This window comes from Homo sapiens, chromosome 4 (genome assembly GCF_000001405.40).
Source record: "Homo sapiens chromosome 4, GRCh38.p14 Primary Assembly".
NCBI classification, from domain to species: Eukaryota; Metazoa; Chordata; class Mammalia; order Primates; family Hominidae; genus Homo; species Homo sapiens.
Genome location: NC_000004.12, coordinates 15,174,082 through 15,195,020, shown reverse-complemented (window position 1 = coordinate 15,195,020; position 20,939 = coordinate 15,174,082). Strand labels below are relative to the sequence as shown.

The 20,939-nt window shown below is 40.1% G+C and overlaps 1 long non-coding RNA gene across 1 annotated transcript in view, besides 1 other annotated feature; it reads left to right on the top strand.

Moving 5' to 3' along the window:
- Positions 1 to 20,939, top strand: part of C1QTNF7-AS1 (C1QTNF7 antisense RNA 1) — a 422,973-nt gene that overhangs the window by 232,894 nt on the left and 169,140 nt on the right. The gene's annotated exons all lie outside the window — the stretch shown is intronic.
- Positions 11,456 to 12,655: an enhancer, noted in NCBI's record as "P300/CBP strongly-dependent group 1 enhancer chr4:15183990-15185189 (GRCh37/hg19 assembly coordinates)". NCBI's record gives its function as "activates an origin of replication core promoter dependent on BRD2, BRD4, P300/CBP, MED14 and CDK7 cofactors, with strong dependence on P300/CBP, by STARR-seq in HCT116 cells {active_cell/tissue: HCT116}" and the evidence as "EXISTENCE:reporter gene assay evidence [ECO:0000049][PMID:35650434]".

Sequence of the window (20,939 nt, the reverse complement as noted above, 5' to 3'; positions counted from 1 at the left end):
GGGCCTATATGGGTGCCCGCTGTCTTCAACCGCTGGCCTACAAGCAGCCTGTCCTCACCATTGATGTGGAGGTGGGTCTGGAAGGGCAGAAGCTGGGTCATCAATAGACCATGCATCCCTCCATGGGAGTTCTCTGATCATTTTCATACACACTCTGATCTCTGCATCTGATGCTGGATACTCCAAACTAAGACATAGCTCAGTAAGTAATTGTTACATGAATAAACACAAAAAGAATTTAGAGGTCAACACACACAGAAAATGAATAGCTCCTATGCAGGACCTCTTCTGGTAGCTGTGAACTTAATTTCCTTAGAAGATTCTGAGTCATATTTTTACAAAAAGCCCAGGCTCTCACCCTTATCATTAGGTAGTCTTGCAGAAAAGACCAAGATGAGAGAGAACGTAGCAGAAAATGCTGTGGGGGACTGTGCTCCCAGTTACCATGAAGACGAAGTGAAAATCTGTGGAAAGCATTTTACACTGCAATGAAGTGGGTTTCATTTGAAGATCACAGACCAAGCACATGATACTGCCTTCCCCTTTCTTCCCCAAATCCCTGGAAATGCTTTAACAGACATATTTTGAAAAGTAATAAGCCTAATAAATTATTTTTCCAACAAATATTCAGAGTTCTGTGATTACTATAATGCCCCATGTTGTCTAAACATCCCTTTTTATGGGTTTCCCAATAGGAACTCGAGCCTGAGAGATAGTAAGTCCTAGGGGAAGCAGCTGCTTGGTAAAGAAGAGGCTGTGATTTTTTTTTTTTAATGTCATGGATAGAAGAGGCAAGGGAAGGGGAAGTCATTGGGAAGAATACACCAGCCAAACAGCCCGACCTGGATATTAGCTGCCTCCTGCAAGCCAGGAGCAAAGTTGAACCCAGGGAATAATGTGTGCTGGCCAGCTGGGGAGGTAGCCAGCTGGAACATGGACAATGCATTAAATGACAACCCATCCATGCCTTACAGGTTTCTATCTGATCAAGGAACAATTGATCTGGCTCATGTTTCAGAAAGTGGAGGAAATATAAAAACACCTTAACTCTGTGCTTTCGAGATGTGATCTTGCCCCATATGCATTAGGAGTAAACTGTTAGAAAATTGAAAGTCACGACTACTTACTGAGTGTCTCCTGTGGACTAATGGGCTATCAGACCATTTCACAGCTGATGAAATTAAGGATCAGAGAAGTTAAGTGACCTAAATATAGGGTTGCCAGCTTTAGCAAATAAATTAAGGAAAGCCTAGTTAATTTGAGTGTTGGATATACAATGATAGCTTTAAGTATCCTATGCAGTTTTTAAAAATGATGGATAACTTTTAGTATATGCAGGTCCCATGCAATAAACTAAAAGCTAAAAAATTAAAAATACTAACAATATTTTGTTGTCAAAATATCTGGAATATAAATTCAATTGAAAGTTCTATGTTTCTTTTTTCTGGCACTCTTACTTAAATAAGAATGTGCAGCTGGTTAGTGTCCACATCTAGGCCCAAGATGCTCTCATTGTAGTAAAGTTTTCGGCTCTACTGCACTGATTCCCAAATACAAAAATTGAATCTGGGCTAGACTATTTTATTTGTTGTAACATATATTGTATTTTTTCATATCATACATTATTAAGCCCTTCTAAAATAAGCCACTTTTATACTAACCCTTATCTCAGAGCCTGCTTCTGGGTAAGGCACCCTAGGACAGCAAATGACCTAGGCTCCTTCATTCAGAACTGTCCCTTGACTTTGGATGAGAAACTAGTGGTCCCTCGAGGCAGGGACGATACTCACTCTTACCTGGCCATAGGCAGAGACAGAGAAAGTAACACCTGCTTGCAGAGGTGACACAGAAGTGTTTCTGGTAGCAGCATCCGGAGTCCAGCTTTGTGTCCACCCAGAGGAAGTGGCAGCCTGGAACCACTTCTGTGGCTTACATTTTTCTTAGTTATATGGCTCCCGAGTCTGGTTCTCTGTCTTCTCTAGAAAACCTGTCTTATCCGGTATGCTTCTGGACAATCTGTTTCCTATGTAGATTCCTCAGAATTATCTTCTCAACTGAAGAACCCGGATTTGTCAATACCAGAAGTGGTGTGGTTATAGCAGCAGACCCTCAGGACACTGGAAAAATTGGCATTGGTTGTCTGGTTTACTTAGGGCTATGAATAGTGAAAATCCAGTTCTTGTTGAGGAATGGGACTCTGGCAACCTAAGACAGAGACTGGCAAAAACAATTAATCCAATTATCATGCATGGTCAACTGTAATAAAACCCCCAGTGAAGATGAGGTATGGAGACCACATGGTCCCTTGCCGTAGAACTTGCTATAAGAAATTCTAAGATGTGTGAATGGGTGGTGGCTTCTAGAGAAAGAAAATACTAAGTACACAGTCCTAAATTCCTGGCTCAGTGTAAAGACCCGAAATTAAAGACTTTCATTGGCTGGGCTAAAGACTGACTCATTTTGTGCAGCTGCAAAGCTGAAGCAGACAAAACTAAACCCATACCTGATCTTCTTGCTTAATGGCTTATGTCAGGCCTCTCTTCTGCTGACCTAGAGATTTTTCATCACATTTCAAGAAGTATTTCAGTGGGCTGCCCACTGATGTCCACTCTAGGATCCCCATAAGTAAGTAGTCAAAGATCTGCACAGTCAAGACCATTTTGATTGGCATAATGGTGCTGACAGTCAGAGCAGCTTGGTAACTTACCTAAGTTCACACATTACCAAGAAGAGAAGGAGGATGTCTGTCCCATACCACTGCCTGTCTTTCCCAACATTCCACCCATTGGCATCCAAGGATTTGGATCCTTTGCCACATGAAGAAAGTTGATGACCCCAGTGAAGTGGATCAATGTGAGATATGCTTCCTGCCGAGATTTATGCGGAAACAGAAATCTGTTTCCTATGCATTTTTTTTTTTGAGCTGGAGTTTCTCTCTTGTCACCCAGGCTTCAGTGCAATGGTGCGATCTCAGTTCACTGCAACCTCTGCCTCCTAGATTCAAGCAATTCTCCTGTCTCAGCCTCCCAAGTAGCTGGAATTACAGGCACCTGCCACCACTCCCGGCTAATTTTTGTAATTTTTGGTAGAGATGGGGTTTTACCATGTTGGTCAGGCTGGTCTTGAACTCCTGACCTCAGGTAATCCACCCACCTCGACTTCCCAAAGTGCTGGGATTACAGGCATGAGCCACCGCGCCCGGCCTCCTATGCATATTTTTAAAAATATAGAGCACAGAAATATCACATTCAAAGAAGTATTGTTCTTGCAAAGAAATAAAAGTAACTTCAATACTGTATCCCTCAAATAATAGTAAATATGTAATTTATTAATATATGCCACTGCAGCATTAAAAAAAATTTTCGTCTATTCCCCCTGCACTCAGCTGGGTCACCAACCTGTTTTGAAGCCTTTTCTTTCTCCCTCATTTCCTTCTCCTTCTCTATCATATTCACATGTTTCCTCCACAGCTTCTTCTCTTTGTTTCCTTTCATTCCCATTCCTCCTCATTGGTCAATAAATATGGGCTCTTTTTGGGTGAGATAACTCTTGTCTACTTTTCTTCTTCTCACCACAGCTGCTTAGTCCCACCAAACTACAAAAGAAGGCTGAAGAGTAGGAAGGAGAGGAGGTTGGAGGAAGGGAAAAATTTCCTGTGGGCATTGCCAGATAGTCCTATATGGGGAATGGGATGAGAGGAAGGAAATGCTCATTGTGGCGACTTCTACACATAGCATTAACACATGGTTTAACAAGGGCAAATTTTGTCACGATACTTAGCCTCACTGAATCTCATTTGTCTCATCATTAAAGTGTTGATGTCCAAACTTCTGTTGGTGTTGGTTTGAATAATAAATTAGATAATATATGTATGTGATATATCCAGCCTAATACTTAGCCCATGGTCAACAGATAGAAACTATCATGAAAAGCTGAAAATCCAATAAGCCTTTCTACCTCCTTCTAAGCCATACTTCATGCAAGTGTTGGTTGGATATATATTCTATTTTTTTTCAACATGTTACCTGAAATTTATTCAAACATTCAGAAAAATTATAAAAAAGGTACAGCAAATTCTCAATGTACCAACCACCTAGATTCTATAATTATCATTTTATTATACTTGTTTGATCATGTATGTATCCATCCCTCTGTCAATTAATTCACCTGTTTCTGATACATTTCAAAGTAAGTTGAAAACAGAAATACATTTCTCTCCAAACACTTCACCATGCATGCTGTTATATTTTTGAAGGATCTCTTGGAAGGAAATTGCAAAATAACCTTTTATATATGATAGGACTGCTGGTAGGTCTCCTTTTCTTCAAAAACGTAGGCCGGCCTCTCTCTCACTTTCCCTAACTTCAAAACAGCATTTCTCAAAGTGTATTTCATGGAACCCTGATCCAAAGCTATATGGGGGAAAAAATGGTATCTGCTGTCCAAATGCTTGAAGGCCTCTGGATTAAACAAAGTTTTGCAACTTTCTTTATTATAGACTTCTCAGAGGCTTGGTTATGCTAGCATGTATACCATCAAAGGGGATACATTCTACTTACTTGACCATAAGACCCCACTCTTCTTCTGAGAACATGTAGCAGAATGGGTTCTACAGAATACACTTTGGGCAAGGATGCCTGTGCCTAAGTCCTGACCTCTTTTCTCTCTACCCTGTGGCTCACACATATTTTATGGTTCCCAGTTCTTCATTGTATTCATTGTTTTCTGCAGAGTTCCTCCAGTCTTTCAGATCATTTCTGTCTCTGATTACTATGTTTCTGTCAGTTGGGTATGTCCCTGAAAGACATTTTTGTTAATAGTGATATCACAATTAACTATGGAGAACTGCTTACATTTAGAAAACTTAGTATAGATGAAACAAAAATTAAAACCATATTAGTGAAGATAGATAGTAATTATAAAACTCCTTTCTCCATGGCATAAATGAACTGAAAATTTACATAGCTTTTTTAAAAACAAGTAATTATAAAGGACTCTGCAAGAAGAGTAGAATGTTCTGGGAATATTCCTAAATTTTAAGTTTGGAAATATGGAGGCAAGCTAACATCTATGAAATCATCTTTGGTATAAAAGACAAAAGGATATGTTGTACGTTGGTCAATATCTCATACCTCCTATTTGAAATTCTTTTTAACCTTGAGGTCTGGTTGGGAGCACTTGGTCCTCCAAGTTATCCTCCAGGTTGATGGCACAAATTCCTCATCAGCTGTTCAGAGGAGATCATAGGTGAAAGAATTCTGAAAATTATGTGAGTCACAAATAAAAAGTGCTATTTTTATTATCGTTATCACCAGAGAAGCAGAATAATAGGATCTGAAATGACCTTGACAATGTATTCAGCCTTAATTCTTGTCTTCCAGCAGGACTATGCAATGAGGCATTGACCTGGTTTTCTAATTTGTCTAGAGAAGAATTTGTTTTCAATTTCCCTAAGCAACTGGCTACAGTGTCTCACATTCAGCATCTCATAACCCACAAAAGTCACAAAGTACATTCTAAATACTGGCTTTCATTTAGTGCTTGATGAAATATCTTTATTATGACAGACTTAAGAGAATGGAAGTGTAACCCACCTTCACAGGCAAGTCTGTTTTTGGAGAGGAACAAGAAAACCTCCCTTGCAAAACCACAACAAGGAACTGAGTAAATAAAGGTCTGAATCTCTGATAATGACCTCTGTCAGAAGGAACCCAAACCGTGGTGAATAGAAAGCACTTTTAAATAGAAAGCAAAATTTAAGTATGTATTATAACAGCATAGGTGCCATTCTCCAAAACCTAGAGAAAAGAAGGGGAGTTCCAACATGTCTAGTGGACCCTATGGTGTTCAAACCTCACCCTCACTGGTCTGCCCTCTATTTACCTATCCACTCTCTAGTAAATTAGACAAAACCCCACACATTCTCTCACTTCTCTGAGCCTTGAAACACACTTTTGCCTTGACCTGCAATACCTTACCTAGCCGTACACCTAATGATATGGTTAGGCTTTGTGTCTTCACCCAAATCTCATCTTGAATTGTGATCCCCAGGTGTTGAGGGAGGGACCTCTTGGGAGGTAATTGGATCATGGGGGAGGTTTCCCTCATGCTGTTCTCATGATAGTGAATGAGTTCTCATGAGATCTGATGGTTTTATAAGGGGCTCTTCCCCCTTCACCCTCTCTCTTCTGCCACCCTATGAAGAAGGTGCCTGCTTCCCCTTCCAACATGATTGTAAGTTTCCTGTGGCCTCCTCAGCCATGTGGAACTGTGAGTCAATTAAACCTCTTTCCTTTATAAATAACCCAGTCTTGGGTATTTCTTCATAGCAGTATGAAAACAGACTAATACAGTAAATTGATGCTGGGACTGCGACACTGCTGTAAAGATACTTGAAAAGGTGGAAGTGACTTTGGAACTGGGTAACAGAGGTTGAAACAGTTTGCAGGGCTCAGAAGAAGACAGAAGATGTGGGAAAGTTTGGAACTTTCTAGAGACTTATTGAATGGTTTTGATCAAAATGCTCATAGTGGTATGGACAATGAAGTCCAGGCTGAGGTGGCCTCAGATGAAGATGAGGAACTTCTTGGGAATGGGAGCAAAGGTCACTCTTGCTATTCTTCAGCAAAGAGACTGGTGGCATTTTGTCCATGCTCTTGATCTCTGTGGAACTTTGAATTTGAGAAAAGTGATCTGAAATTGGAACTTACGTTTAAAAGGGAAGCAAAGCAGAAAAGTTTGGAAAATTTGCAGCCTGATGATATGATATAAAAGATAAAAAACCCATTTTCTAAGGAGAAATTCAAGCCTGCTGCATAAATTTGCATAATAAGGAGGAGCCAAATGTTAATTATCAAGACAATGGAAAAAATGTCTCCAGGGCATGTCAGACATCTTCAAGGCAGCCCTTCTCATCACAGGCTCAGAGACCTAGGAGGGAAAAATGGTCTCAAGAGCTGCCTACCTCTGGACTTCTTGCTGCATAGCACTTGCTACATTATTTTATGACTGTATATTTATTTGTTTTCTTCTTACTGTGAGACTATATTGGCCCCTCTTTCTTCTTCTCAGTCCTAGACCTAGGATTATTGGCTTGATGAATTTTGAACTCCTTGTATAGAGATTTTGACAACAAAATCTCTTGAGAACAAAGCATGAACCTCTCAATCCTCAAATCAGTGGGATATCATAAGTGTCTGGTAAATTTGTGTATGTATGAATGATTTCATGAATCTGTCAAGAATCATGTTTAATTAGAATTATTAGGCTCTAAAAGCAATGAATTATAAAGAGGACCTTTTGAAATAAGTGCATTAAGAAAAGAGCATCATAGTAGAGTTCACAGCAGAATATTATAATATTCTGTATTGTAATACTTATATTGTAATGATGTTTACAAATTAATAGTGTCCAAAATGAGCAGTTTTTAATCTCCTAAAAATCTCACCTTTTTCCAGATACATTCTTGAGATAATCTCAACTGATTACATTCTTTTCATTCAATATTTATGAGTGAGATTAATACCATGTTATTTAGTACTTGCATATATATGGCCTATTTTATCCTCTTATGCCATTTCATGAAATCTCTACTATTTGATTGCATATTTGGTTATAAGCAACTTATTAACATGAATTCTCAAGCCAGGATAAACTTGTTTTTATCTCTGTCCTTTACCGTTATATGATCTTGAATAAGTCCCTTAAGTTAACTAAACTTTGATTTCTATTCTGTAAAGGTTGGGAAAAGGGATTCCTGTATTATATGGTTGTTTTGATAATTAAATAATAATGTAAGCAAGTGATAGGTAGAAGGTGAAAAATAAATACTGGCTTTATTTTTATTCCTTTCTCTTTCCCTCTACAGAAACATGATGTAATGTTGTAGTGTCAGTGACTATTCCTTAAAACAATAGGCACATTGGATTGAAATCCCTGTAGGGAAATTTGACATGAATTGGGGTAGAATGAGAAGTATTTTCCCTTACCAAGAAGGATCTCATACCAAACTGATTCATCTTTAAAATGACATGAGAATTCAGAGTTGTCATCATCTCTTTCTGCTTGACCTTTCTGTACATTTGGGATATCTTGTAGTATGAGAATTATAGTGTTCAGAAGAGACCAGATTTGGCACTAACAGACTGAACAGCTGGGTGGCTTTTTTACTTCTAGCTACAGTGATAAAAAGGATCTTAAAACTTGAGATCAATGTGTGCACTGTAAAAATAAAAGAGATTCAAACAAACTTTACCAAGATAGAGACTCAGAAGTGCCTTTCCTAGTTTTTAAGTTAGAAAGAGAACCCAGTAAGTAAGGCTGTGAAAAGTCCCTAAATTGATAGCTTCATTTAAGCTTTGACTTTTCTGGATTTATTTTTTTCTAAGTGACCTGATTTCAAAGCACACTATTTCCCCAGTGTGGCTTTCTCTGTCACACCATCAAACACCAACCTTGCCATTTCCATATGTACTTCTGGAAAAAAAATTCCCTCAACATACGTCCCCTGAGCAAGGCTGAAATGGAACAGGATTGAAAAGCTCATCAAATCATTTTCCTCCCAACCTTGTTCAGAGCCTGGAAACTTGCCAGTGTGGGCCAATTCTGAATGCTCTTTCTCCACACTCCCAGCCCCACCTCTGCTCTCTATCTACCGCAGACTAGGGAGTCAGCTCTCAGAAATGAAAACTCCCTGTTTTCTGAGCTCCAATGGTTGTCATCACACTCTGAGGGCATGGCATGCCATTCATTTTCAAGATTTCTCAGCCAGCAGGCGTTGGTGACAAGCATTAGCCAAACTTGTAAACAATACTCAAAGTTATTAACTTGGCATTAGCATCTTTCGTGATGGAGCTTTATCCTACCGTTCCATTTGTTTGTGTATCCCATTTCCATCCCAATAAACAGCTCACTGTACCAGGCTTTTTCTTGTTTCCTATGAGTTCTGACTGTGCATGCTACCCATCCTCCCAGTCCAAAATTCCCACCCTTCTTCCAAAAAATCACTCCTCTTTACACAACAGCACGACTTATTTCTTCTCTGGATTCCTAGGTTCTTTCATATTTATCTTTCTTTAGACTTTTCTTTTTCCATTTCTATTTCATTTTATGCTATGTCTGTCCATATCTCAGAACCCAGCTGTGCTTAATGCTTCTTAAGGACCCAAAATATTGGAAGTCATCTTCCTATCTTTTATCACAAACATAATGCCTTGCCCATAGTAAGTATCTGTAGTTCTGCCGTTAGCAAGCTATGCATTAAGGACATACTTGCTGCTTCAGCACATAAATCCCCAAGTTTACAAGGGACCAAATATGAAAGAAGTTTATTTCTCATTACAGACAGTCCACAACAAGTAGTATTGACCAGGAGGTGGCCATCCTCCTCTGGCAATGATTCAAGAACTCAGGCTCTATTTATCTGGTGCTTGCAGAATCTTTATTCATGGCTTCCAGGTTCACCCTGGGGTTCATCTCCATTCTAGCCAACTGTAAAGGGAGCGAGCATGGAGGAACACATGTGGGAACTGGCGTGGATGCCTTCTGCTTACACTCCACTGGTGAGAACTCAGTTATACGGCCAGACCCAACTGGGAAATGGAATCTTACTGTGAGCCCAGAGAGACAGGTAACTGGGCCTGTGCCACTGTCTGTATTATGAGTTCTATGATCCAGAGGAGGTCATTCAATTGTTAGGAGTTTTAGTTCTCTCATCTACATCATGGAGGAAATAAAATTTTAAAAAGATCATTGTAAAGATTACATTGTATGACAATTATAAAATCTTTTTGTTTTCATCTGAAAAATGAACAAGATGGACTAAGTGATCCCTAGGTTCCTTTCACTGCTAACTAAAGACACACTTGAGTTTGTTCACAAGACTGTCCTAACAAGGCAGGAAAAGGGAACTGCTGTATATTAGGGGGAAAATATATATAAAGAATATATTCTCTGTTAATTTACTGGATCAGAAAGTTTAATTGGCTGTAGCACCTCATTTCTCATGCGATTTGATTAACAGAGGTTCCATCAAGCCTTGTGGGTGAGACTGGGGCCGTTTAGTTAAGCTGCTAGAACCCTTAAAGCTTGAGAGAGAAAGAAAAAAAACATGCATGTGGACATCTGTGATGCACTAACATTTGGGCCTCAGTTTCCTCCTCCGTAGATGTAAAATGGTAGGTTGGATCTGATGTCCTCCAAAGCCCCTGGCTGCTCTAGTATCTTATGAATTAAAGTGACAGAGTAAAATCACTCACTCTGCATAACAATGTACACACCAAGAAGAAACAGCTGCACTCTGGGCCAGGCCCACTCGTCAAATGACTGTTTTTTGGTTTGTTTGTTTGTAATTAAATAAACTGTAAATCCAAGATAAGAAGACAGAATTAGTTGAGGTCCAAAGTATGTAAAATCTTTTATGTGATAAACTTTAGATTCAGCTTTTGATTATTCTTAGAGAAAATAAAAACATAAAATGAGGTGGCCATAGTCACACTAGTATCCAATAGCGATAGATGAAAATGCTTATGGTCAAGATGAGTACTTGATTTATTTGTGTCTAAACCAGTGAGAAGCTGAACTTCTTCTTATATTTATGACACCGATATTAGTGACAATAATTATTATTTATCAAGGACGTCCCATTTTATTTACTTAATACACATTATTTCATGTAATCTTATTATTATTATTATTTTAATTCTTTTTACTTTAAGTTCCGGGATACAAGTGCAGAACATGCAGGTTTGTTAGATAGGTATATGTCCGCCACGGTGTTGGCTGCACCTATCAACCCATCTTCTAGGTTTTAAGCCCCACATGCATTAGCTATTTGTCCTAATGCTCTCCCTCCCCTCATCCCCCACTCCCTGAATTTAATCTTTATAATAACCAATAACATTGGAAGATAGGTATTTTTTGCTCTATTTTACAGATAGGGGAACGGAGGCTTGGGGTCCACAAGGTCATTCAGTTGGTAAAGAGCAAATCTAGAGTTAAGCCTCGTAGCCCTGGCTCCAGAGGCAGAATCTTGGCCATTACAGGAGCCTTTGCCTTGTGTGTGGTTGAGGGCACCATGTAAGTTCTGCCTAGCCTTCAAAACTCACCCTCCCTCCAAACTCTGATCACCTATGCCTTGTCTGTGCATGCCACTCACTTGGAATTTATCATATAATACTCTGAATTGCACTGATGGCACTGTTTTATAGAAGGCATTCCATAAATATTAGTTGACTGACACAAATCTTGCCCTAGCTATATATTAATCAGTTTAGGTTATTTGCTGTTACAAACAATCTGTAAATCTCAGTGGCACAAAACAATAAAGTTTCATTGCTGGCTTATGTCCTAGTTCAATGTAGGTCAGTGGTACGTTGAGGAGGTGAAATCAGGTTGAGGGTGCTTTACTCTACACAGTCATTTGGAAATCAGTGTTCTTCCAGTATAGACTTTGCCTTCTCCAAGAGTCCCAGCATCTTCCACTGGATCACCCAGTTCAGCCAAGTGATTAAGGAAAAGCAAGAGTGTAGAGAAGGCTCACCCACTTTTAACCACCTTGGGCTGGAGGTGACAGTCACTGTTACTTACATTCCATTGATGAGCACTCACCATGTGACCCCCATGTGAGTGGCCTGGGAAATGGAGGAAGGAAAAGGAGAACATGAATATTGATAAACAAAGCACTTGATATTTCTGATGTTCATTTTCCTCATCTATAAAATGGAAATGATAGAGCAGCTGTGAAAACAGCACACACAGGAGGTGCTTAATAAATGTTGATTCTGATTCTCAGTTTATCATTTGCAGTGGGAAACCTTCATTAGTGTCAAATCACATTGAAAGGACTCATCAAAGGCTCTTTAGGAGGATCAAAATTTGATTGGAAGGAAGGGTAAAAAAAAAAAAAAGGAAGAAGAGGTAAAATGAAACCAAAAGGGGAGAAGATATAGCTATCAAACAGTGTTGATGGCACCAGCCATTTCCACCGTGTCTCCCTTAATGCCTAACTTTAGGTAAGGTTTCAGAATGACAAGGACCTGTTACTCACAATTCCCATGATGAATCACAAAAAAAGATGGAGGCAGAAATCATGTTGGTCCTTGTGTCTTCTGCAGGTAATTAAACTAGCGACCAAGCTGGAAACATACATCATACCTACAGGAGGACTATTATTATTAGTCCTGTTATTCTTTTTTTCCATAAGGACAGTAACACGTAGGTTGCTATTAATCATGGCATTCACCAGAAGCAGCTCTGACCTAGTTTCCCACATGAATCACTTCCTTTGAAGGCAGACCCAGCCCACTGCAGAAATTTAGAACCTGCTCCCTGTGCCCCCCACCCTGGGTTTCCTCTTTCACCATACTTTATCTCTCTAGCATAATGGCCTATTTTGATTCCCTGCAAAGGCCAGATCCCTCTGCCTCTGTGGAGTTGCCTATGCTGACCCCTGTGCTTATAAAGTTCTTCAGTATCTTCTGTGTCTCCTGCTTTTTCAGCAAAAAGGTCCTCTGTTTCAGGGAGCCATCCTAGTCAGTGAGAATGTGCACCATTTGTGTTCTCCTGGAGGCTTGTTTTTAGCTCTCTTATTCTACTCTTCACAATGCTCTGGCTACTTCCCTTGTATATAATGAATTTCCTTAGGATAGGAAATGCACCTTTATTTCTATATCTCTGTTGTAGAGCACGCGGACATGTTCAACACGTTTTCCAAATAACAGTTGTCATTTATGTAGCTTCTAAATGCATAACCTTATTTAGTATCTGCAATAACCCACAATGTAGAAACTATAACTATATTTGTATATAACCTGCTATACTAGCAAACTTATAAAATATATTTTTATAAAATATTTATGAAATATGTATCATATATTCGTATATATTTATATATAATTTTAACTATAGTGAAAATGAGGAAACTGAGAGAATTTGACAGCTGTCCACTTAGAAGTATAAAAGTTGAGATTTGAAGCTATATGTGTTTAATTTGAGACCCAGCTCGTAACCCTGACATATACAAGATACATGAATATCAAGAACAATTTAATTACAGTTCCCTCAAAGAGAGATATATTGTACAATGATTCCTTAATACAATCCATATCATTAGTATGAAGAAGGACACTGTAATGGAACATAGTTCTGAGGAAAGCTGTTTCCTGTCTGGGCTCCAGGCTCCAAGTTTCCAACACTTCCTGCTTGGGTCACCATGGTCAGGTTGGTGACTGCGAGGCTACTGAGGGTGGGGTACAACTTTCTTGAAGCCAATGAAGGAACATCAAAAAGCCTGGAACTAAACTCACAGGGATAAAGATCTCTGATGAAATGGGACGACCCTCTTTATCTTCATCACATCCTCTCTGTTAGGAGCTGAATTGTGTCCCCTGAAGTTTGTATGCGAAAGGAGTTGTCATCTCCTTGATGGATGGTCTCAGCTGTGGAGAGCTGCCTTGCCCAAGGTCATGTTCTTTCTGGAGTAGCCCATACCCAGTGGTCAATGAGGGCATATGAAGACCAGGCATCTTAGCTCAACAGTGATGGCTCTGAAGAGCTGCTGTCTCTCAGGAGCTTCTAGAGGCATCAGCCAGAGCTGTTGCTGGCCCTTTCTGGAAGCTCCAAGTGTTTCTCTGCCTGCTCCTGCTTCCACTCCCCTCCTTCCACAGTGTCAATTCCAATACTCCTTAACAAACATCTTGCAGTTGACCCTTTCTCATATAGCTCCTGTAAAAGCTCCAAAGCTCTGGGCTGCTCCAGCTGAAATAAACTTTTCCTCTTGTCTTACCCCTTCTTCGTGCCTTAATGTATACCTCTGGGGTTCCAGCAGCCATCCCGTAACCATAAGGCCACTGCAAGCATGGAAGCATGCTAAGGTTGTGGTACAGAAAAGGAAAGACCCAGGATCTCTGATGACAGCTATAAGCCACTATATTAATTATCTCTGCCCTGCCTACCTCTGGACTTCTTGTTGCATAATAAAAACAAAACTTCTGATATACTTAAACCACTGGTTTTTGGTTGTGGGTTTCTGTTACCTGCAGCCAAACACAATGGCCATTGATACAAAACATTAAACAAATACTCATATAAATGATACCTTTATTTTAATTGAAAAATCTGTCATCAAGTAGATTTAATTATTACTGGAGAATGTAGAATCAGTGGGGTGAGGCAAAATTTTCCATGGGGTAGAAATATCCCTTGATGCTGGAAGGGGGTTGAGTACTTTCTAGTTTCTGACTTACTCTCACTCAAATAAATCATTCTTGACTACGTAGAGCAAAGAGGTGGGAAGCAGGTGGATGAGGTATAGATATAGGCAGATTGGCAGATTGTTGAGAGGTGGATGTCTTTAGCTTGCCTCCAGATTCACTCTCCAGCCTTCCTCACCCTGTTCTCTGGCCTGAGAAGCCAATCTGCATGAATTACACCAATAGGGAAAGCTGGCATGAGATGGGGTGGAAAGAGGAGAAGGTTGTTGGGGTATTTGTTCCTCCCTGTGGTGTGGTCTTTGTGCTGGCTCTGTCCCTCCAAGTAACCTCTTTACATGACTCTTTTCTTCTGTTTTCCAATAGCCAAGAAGTTGTTAATCTGAGATCTGTAAAGTTTAGGAGGTTTGTGAACTTCAATGGGGAAACTAAAAATATATCTTTACAATCACTAATCTCCAACCAAAATTGACCATTTCCTTCAATCACCAAGCTAGGCAACACATCCTAATGGTATTAGCAATACCTGTGACTGCTGTCATGAGTATTTTCGTGTAACATCACAGAGGGTGCAGGCATGTCAAAGTGTCTTTTATGCTCACCCCTACTTTGAAGTTGCAGTCATTATTAGACCCACCATCAGGCCTTGTTAGATAGTGTGTTAAAAAAGAAACCCTTATGTTAATATATTACACACTTATTAGCATATTTTATTCATTGGATTTTAATATCATTGTATTCTTTTGTAATTAGTATTTTATTTTATTTTATTATTTTATTTTTTTACAATTTATTTTATTTTTTTATTATTATTATACTTTAAGTTTGAGGGTACATGTGCACATTGTGCAGGTTAGTTACATATGTATACATGTGCCATGCTGGTGCGCTGCACCCACTAACTCGTCATCTAGCATTAGGTATATCTCCCAATGCTATCCCTCCCCTCTCCCCCCACCCCACAACAGTCCCTAGAGTGTGATGTTCCCCTTCCTGTGTCCATGTGATCTCATTGTTCAATTCCCACCTATGAGTGAGAATATGCGGTGTTTGGTTTTTTGTTCTTGCGATAGTTTACTGAGAATGATGATTTCCAATTTCATCCATGTCCCTACAAAGGACATGAACTCATCATTTTTTATAGCTGCATAGTATTCCATGGTGTATATGTGCCACATTTTCTTAATCCAGTCTATCATTGTTGGACATTTGGGTTGGTTCCAAGTCTTTGCTATTGTGAATAATGCCACCATAAACATATGTGTACATGTGTCTTTATATCAGCATGATTTATAGTCCTTTGGGTATATACCCAGTAATGGGATGGCTGGGTCAAATGGTATTTCTAGTTCTAGATCCCTGAGGAATGCCCACACTGACTTCCACAATGGTTGAACTAGTTTACAGTCCCACCAACAGTGTAAAAGTGTTCCTATTTTTCCAGCACCTGTTGTTTCCTGACTTTTTAATGATTGCCATTCTAACTGGTGTGAGATGGTATCTCATTGTGGTTTTGATTTGCATTTCTCTGATGGCCAGTGATGATGAGCATTTTTTCATGTGTTTTTTGGCTGCATAAATGTCTTCTTTTGAGAAGTGTCTGTTCATGTCCTTCGCCCACTTTTTGATGGGGTTGTTTGTTTTTTTCTTGTAAATTTGTTTGAGTTCATTGTAGATTCTGGATATTAGCCCTTTGTCAGATGAGTAGGTTGCAAAAATTTTCTCCCATTTTGTAGGTTGCCTGTTCACTCTGATGGTAGTTTCTTTTGCTGTGCAGAAGCTCTTTAGTTTAATTAGATCCCATTTGTCAATTGTGGCTTTTGTTGCCATTGCTTTTGGTGTTTTAGCCATGAAGTCCTTGCCCATGCCTATGTCCTGAATGGTAATGCCTAGGTTTTCTTCTAGGGTTTTTATGGTTTTAGGTCTAACGTTTAAGTCTTTAATCCGTCTTGAATTTATTTTTGTATAAGGTGTAAGGAAGGGATCCAGTTTCAGCTTTCTACATATGGCTAGCCAGTTTTCCCAGCACCATTTATTAAATAGGGAATCCTTTCCCCATTGCTTGCTTTTCTCAGGTTTGTCAAAGATCAGATAGTTGTAGATATGCGGCGTTATTTCTGAGGGCTCTGTTCTGTTCCATTGATCTATATCTCTGTTTTGGTACCAGTACCATGCTGTTTTGGTTACTGTAGCCTTGTAGTATAGTTTCAAGTCAGGTAGTATGATGCCTCCAGCTTTGTTCTTTTGGCTTAGGATTGACTTGGCGATGCGGGCTCTTTTTTGGTTCCATATGAACTTTAAAGTAGTTTTTTCCAATTCTGTGAAGAAAGTCATTGGTAGCTTGATGGGGATGGCATTGAATCTGTAAATTACCTTACAGATTTACCATATTGATTCTTCCTACCCATGAGCATGGAATGTTCTTCCATTTGTTTGTATCCTCTTTTATATCCTTGAGCAGTAGTTTGTAGTTCTCCTTGAAGAGGTCCTTCACATCCCTTGTAAGTTGGATTCCTAGGTATTTTATTCTCTTTGAAGCAATTGTGAATGGGAGTTCACTCATGATTTGGCTCTCTGTTTGTCTGTTATTGGTGTATAAGAATGCTTGTGATTTTTGTACATTGATTTTGTATCCTGAGACTTTGCTGAAGTTGCTTATCAGCTTAAGGAGATTTTGGGCTGAGACAATGGGGTTTTCTAGATATACAATCATGTCATCTGCAAACAGGGACAATGTGACTTCCTCTTTTCCTAATTGAATACCCTTTATTTCCTTCTCCTGCCTAATTGCCCTGGCCAGAACTTCCAACACTATGTTGAATAGGAGTGGTGAGAGAGGGCATCCGTGTCTTGTGCCAGTTTTCAAAGGGAATGCTTCCAGTTTTTGCCCATTCAGTATGATATTGGCTGTGGGTTTGTCATAGATAGCTCTTATTATTTTGAAATACATCCCATCAATACCTAATTTATTGAGAGTTTTTAGCATGAAGGGTTGCTGAATTTTGTCAAAGGCTTTTTCTGCATCTATTGAGATAATCCTGTGGTTTTTGTCTTTGGCTCTGTTTATATGCTGGATTACATTTATTGATTTGCGTATATTGAACCAGCCTTGCATCCCAGAGATGAAGCCCACTTGATCATGGTGGATAAGCTTTTTGATGTGCTGCTGGATTCGTTTTGCCAGTATTTTATTGAGGATTTTTGCATCAATATTCATCAAGGATATTGGTCTAAAATTCTCTTTTTTGGTTGTGCCTCTGCCCGGCTTTGGTATCAGAATGATGCTGGCCTCATAAAATGAGTTAGGGAGGATTCCCTCTTTTTCTATTGATTGGAATAGTTTCAGAAGGAATGGTACCAGCTCCTCCTTGTACCTCTGGTAGAATTCGGCTGTGAATCCATCTGGTCCTGGACTCTTTTTGGTTGGTAAGCTATTGATTATTGCCACAATTTCAGATCCTGTTATTGGTCTATTCAGAGATTCAACTTCTTCCTGGTTTAGTCTTGGGAGAGTGTACGTGTCCAGGAATTTATCCATTTCTTCTAGATTTTCTAGTTTATTTGCGTAGAGGTGTTTGTAGTATTCTCTGATGGTAGTTTGTATTTCTGTGGGATCGGTGGTGATATCCCCTTTATCATTTTTTATTGCATCTATTTGATTCTTCTCTCTTTTTTTTCTTTATTAGTCTTGCTAGCAGTCTACCAATTTTGTTGATCCTTTCAAAAAACCAGCTCCTAGATTCATTAATTTTTTGAAGGGTTTTTTGTGTCTCTATTTCCTTCAGTTCTGCTCTGATTTTAGTTATTTCTTGCCTTCTGCTAGCTTTTGAATGTGTTTGCTCTTGCTTTTCTAGTTCTTTTAATTGTGATGTTAGGGTGTCAATTTTGGATCTTTCCTGCTTTCTCTTGTGGGCATTTAGTGCTATAAATTTCCCTCTACACACTGCTTTGAATGCGTCCCAGAGATTCTGGTATGTTGTGTCTTTGTTATCGTTGGTTTCAAAGAACATCTTTATTTCTGCCTTCATTTCGTTATGTACCCAGTAGTCATTCAGGAGCAGGTTGTTCAGTTTCCATGTATTTGAGAGGTTTTGAGTGAGATTCTTAATCCTGAGTTCTAGTTTGATTGCACTGTGGTCTGAGAGATAGTTTGTTAAAATCTCTGTTGTTTTACATTTGCTGAGGAGAGCTTTACTTCCAAGTATGTGGTCAATTTTGGAACAGGTGTGGTGTGGTGCTGAAAACAATGTATATTCTGTTGATTTGGGGTGGAGAGTTCTGTAGATGTCTATTAGGTCCGCTTGGTGCAGAGCTGAGTTCAATTCCTGGGTATCCTTGTTGACTTTCTGTCTCGTTGATCTGTCTAATGTTGACAGTGGGGTATTAAAGTCTGCCATTATTAATGTGTGGGAGTCTAAGTCTCTGTGTAGGTCACTCAGGACTTGCTTTATGAATCTGGGTGCTCCTGTATTGGGTGCATATATATTTAGGATAGTTAGCTCTTCTTGTTGAATTGATCCCTTTACCATTATGTAATGGCCTTCTTTGTCTCTTTTGATCTTTGTTGGTTTAAAGTCTGTTTTATCAGAGACTAGGATTGCAGCCCCTGCCTTTTTTTGTTTTCCATTGGCTTGGTAGATCTTCCTCCATCCTTTTATTTTGAGCCTATGTGTGTCTCTGCACGTGAGATGGGTTTCCTGAATACAGCACACTGATGGGTCTTGACTCTTTATCCAATTTGCCAGTCTGTGTCTTTTAATTGGAGCATTGAGTCCATTTACATTTAAAGTTAATATTGTTATGTGTGAATTTGATCCTGTGATTATGATGGTAGCTGGTTATTTTGCTTGTTAGTTGATGCAGTTTCTTCCTAGTCTCAATGGTCTTTACATTTTGGCATGATTTTGCAGCGGCTGGTACCGGTTGTTCCTTTCCATGTTTAGCGCTTCCTTCAGGAGCTCTTTTAGGGCAGGACTGGTGGTGACAAAATCTCTCAGCATTTGCTTGTCTGTAAAGTATTTTATTTCTCCTTCACGTATGAAGCTTAGTTTGGCTTGATATGAAATTCTGGGTTGAAAACTCTTCTCTTTAAGAATGTTGTATATTGGCCCCCACTCTCTTCTGGCTTGTAGGGTTTCTGCCTAGAGATCCGCTGTTAGTCTGATGGGCTTCCCTTTGAGGGTAACCCGACCTTTCTCTCTGGCTGCCCTTAACATTTTTTCCTTCCTTTCAACTTTGGTGAATCTGCCAATTATGTGTCTTGGAGTTGCTCTTCTCGAGGAGTATCTTTGTGGTGTTCTCTGTATTTCCTGAATCTGAACGTTGGCCTGCCTTGCTAGATTGGGGAAGTTCTCCTGGATAATATCCTGCAGAGTGTTTTCCAGCTTGGTTCCATTCTCCCCATCACTTTCAGGTACACCAATCAGATGTAGATTTGGCCTTTTCACATAGTCCCATATTTCTTGGAGGCTTTGCTGATTTCTTTTTATTCTTTTTTCTCTAAACTTCCCTTCTCGCTTCATTTCATTCATTTCATCTTCCATCGCTGATACCCTTTCTTCCAGTTGATCGCATCGGCTCCTGAGGCTTCTGCATTCTTCACATAGTTCTTGAGCCTTGGTTTTCAGCTCCATCAGCTCCTTTAAGCACTTCTCTGTATTGGTTATTCTAGTTATACATTCTTCTAAATTTTTTTCAAAGTTTTCAACTTCTTTGCCTTTGGTTTGAATGTCCTCCCGTAGCTCAGAGTAATTTGATCGTCTGAAGCCTTCTTCTCTCAGATCGTCAAAGTCATTCTCCATCCAGCTTTGTTCCGTTGCTGGTGAGGAACTGCGTTCCTTTGGAGGAGGAGAGGCGCTCTGCTTTTTAGAGTTTCCAGTTTTTCTGTTCTGTTTTTTCCCCATCTTTGTGGTTTTATCTACTTTTGGTCTTTGATGATGGTGATGTACAGATGGATTTTTGGTGTGGGTGTCCTTTCTGTTTGTTAGTTTTCCTTCTAACAGACAGGACCCTCAGCTGCAGGTCTGCTGGAATACCCTGCCGTGTGAGGTGTCAGTGTGCCCCAGCTGGGGGGTGCCTCCCAATTAGGCTGCTCGGGTGTCAGGGGTCAGGGACCCACTTGAGGAGGCAGTCTGCCCGTTCTCAGATCTCCAGCTGCATGCTGGGAGAACCACTGCTCTCTTCAAAGCTGTCAGACAGGGACATTTAAGTCTGCAGAGGTTACTGCTGTCTTTTTGTTTGTCTGTGCCCTGCCCCCAGAGGTGGAGCCTACAGAGGCAGGCAGGCCTCCTTGAGCTGTGGTGGGCTCCACCCAGTTGGAGCTTCCCGGCTGCTTTGTTTACCTAAGCAAGCCTGGGCAATGGCGGGCGCCCCTCCCCCAGCCTCGCTGCCGCCTTGCAGTTTGATCTCAGACTGCTGTGCTAGCAATCAGCGAGACTCCGTGGGTGTAGGACCCTCCAAGCCAGGTGCCGGATATAATCTCGTGGTGTGCCGTTTTTTAAGCCGGTCAGAAAAGTGCAGTATTTGGGTGGGAGTGACCCAATTTTCCAGGTGCGTCCGTCACCCCTTTCTTTGACTAGGAAAGGGAACTCCCTGACCCCTTGCGCTTCCCGAGTGAGGCAATGCCTCACCCTGCTTCCGCTCACACACGGTGCCCGCACCCACTGACCTGCGCCCACTGTCTGGCACTCCCTAGTGAGATGAACCTGGTACCTCAGATGGAAATGCAGAAAT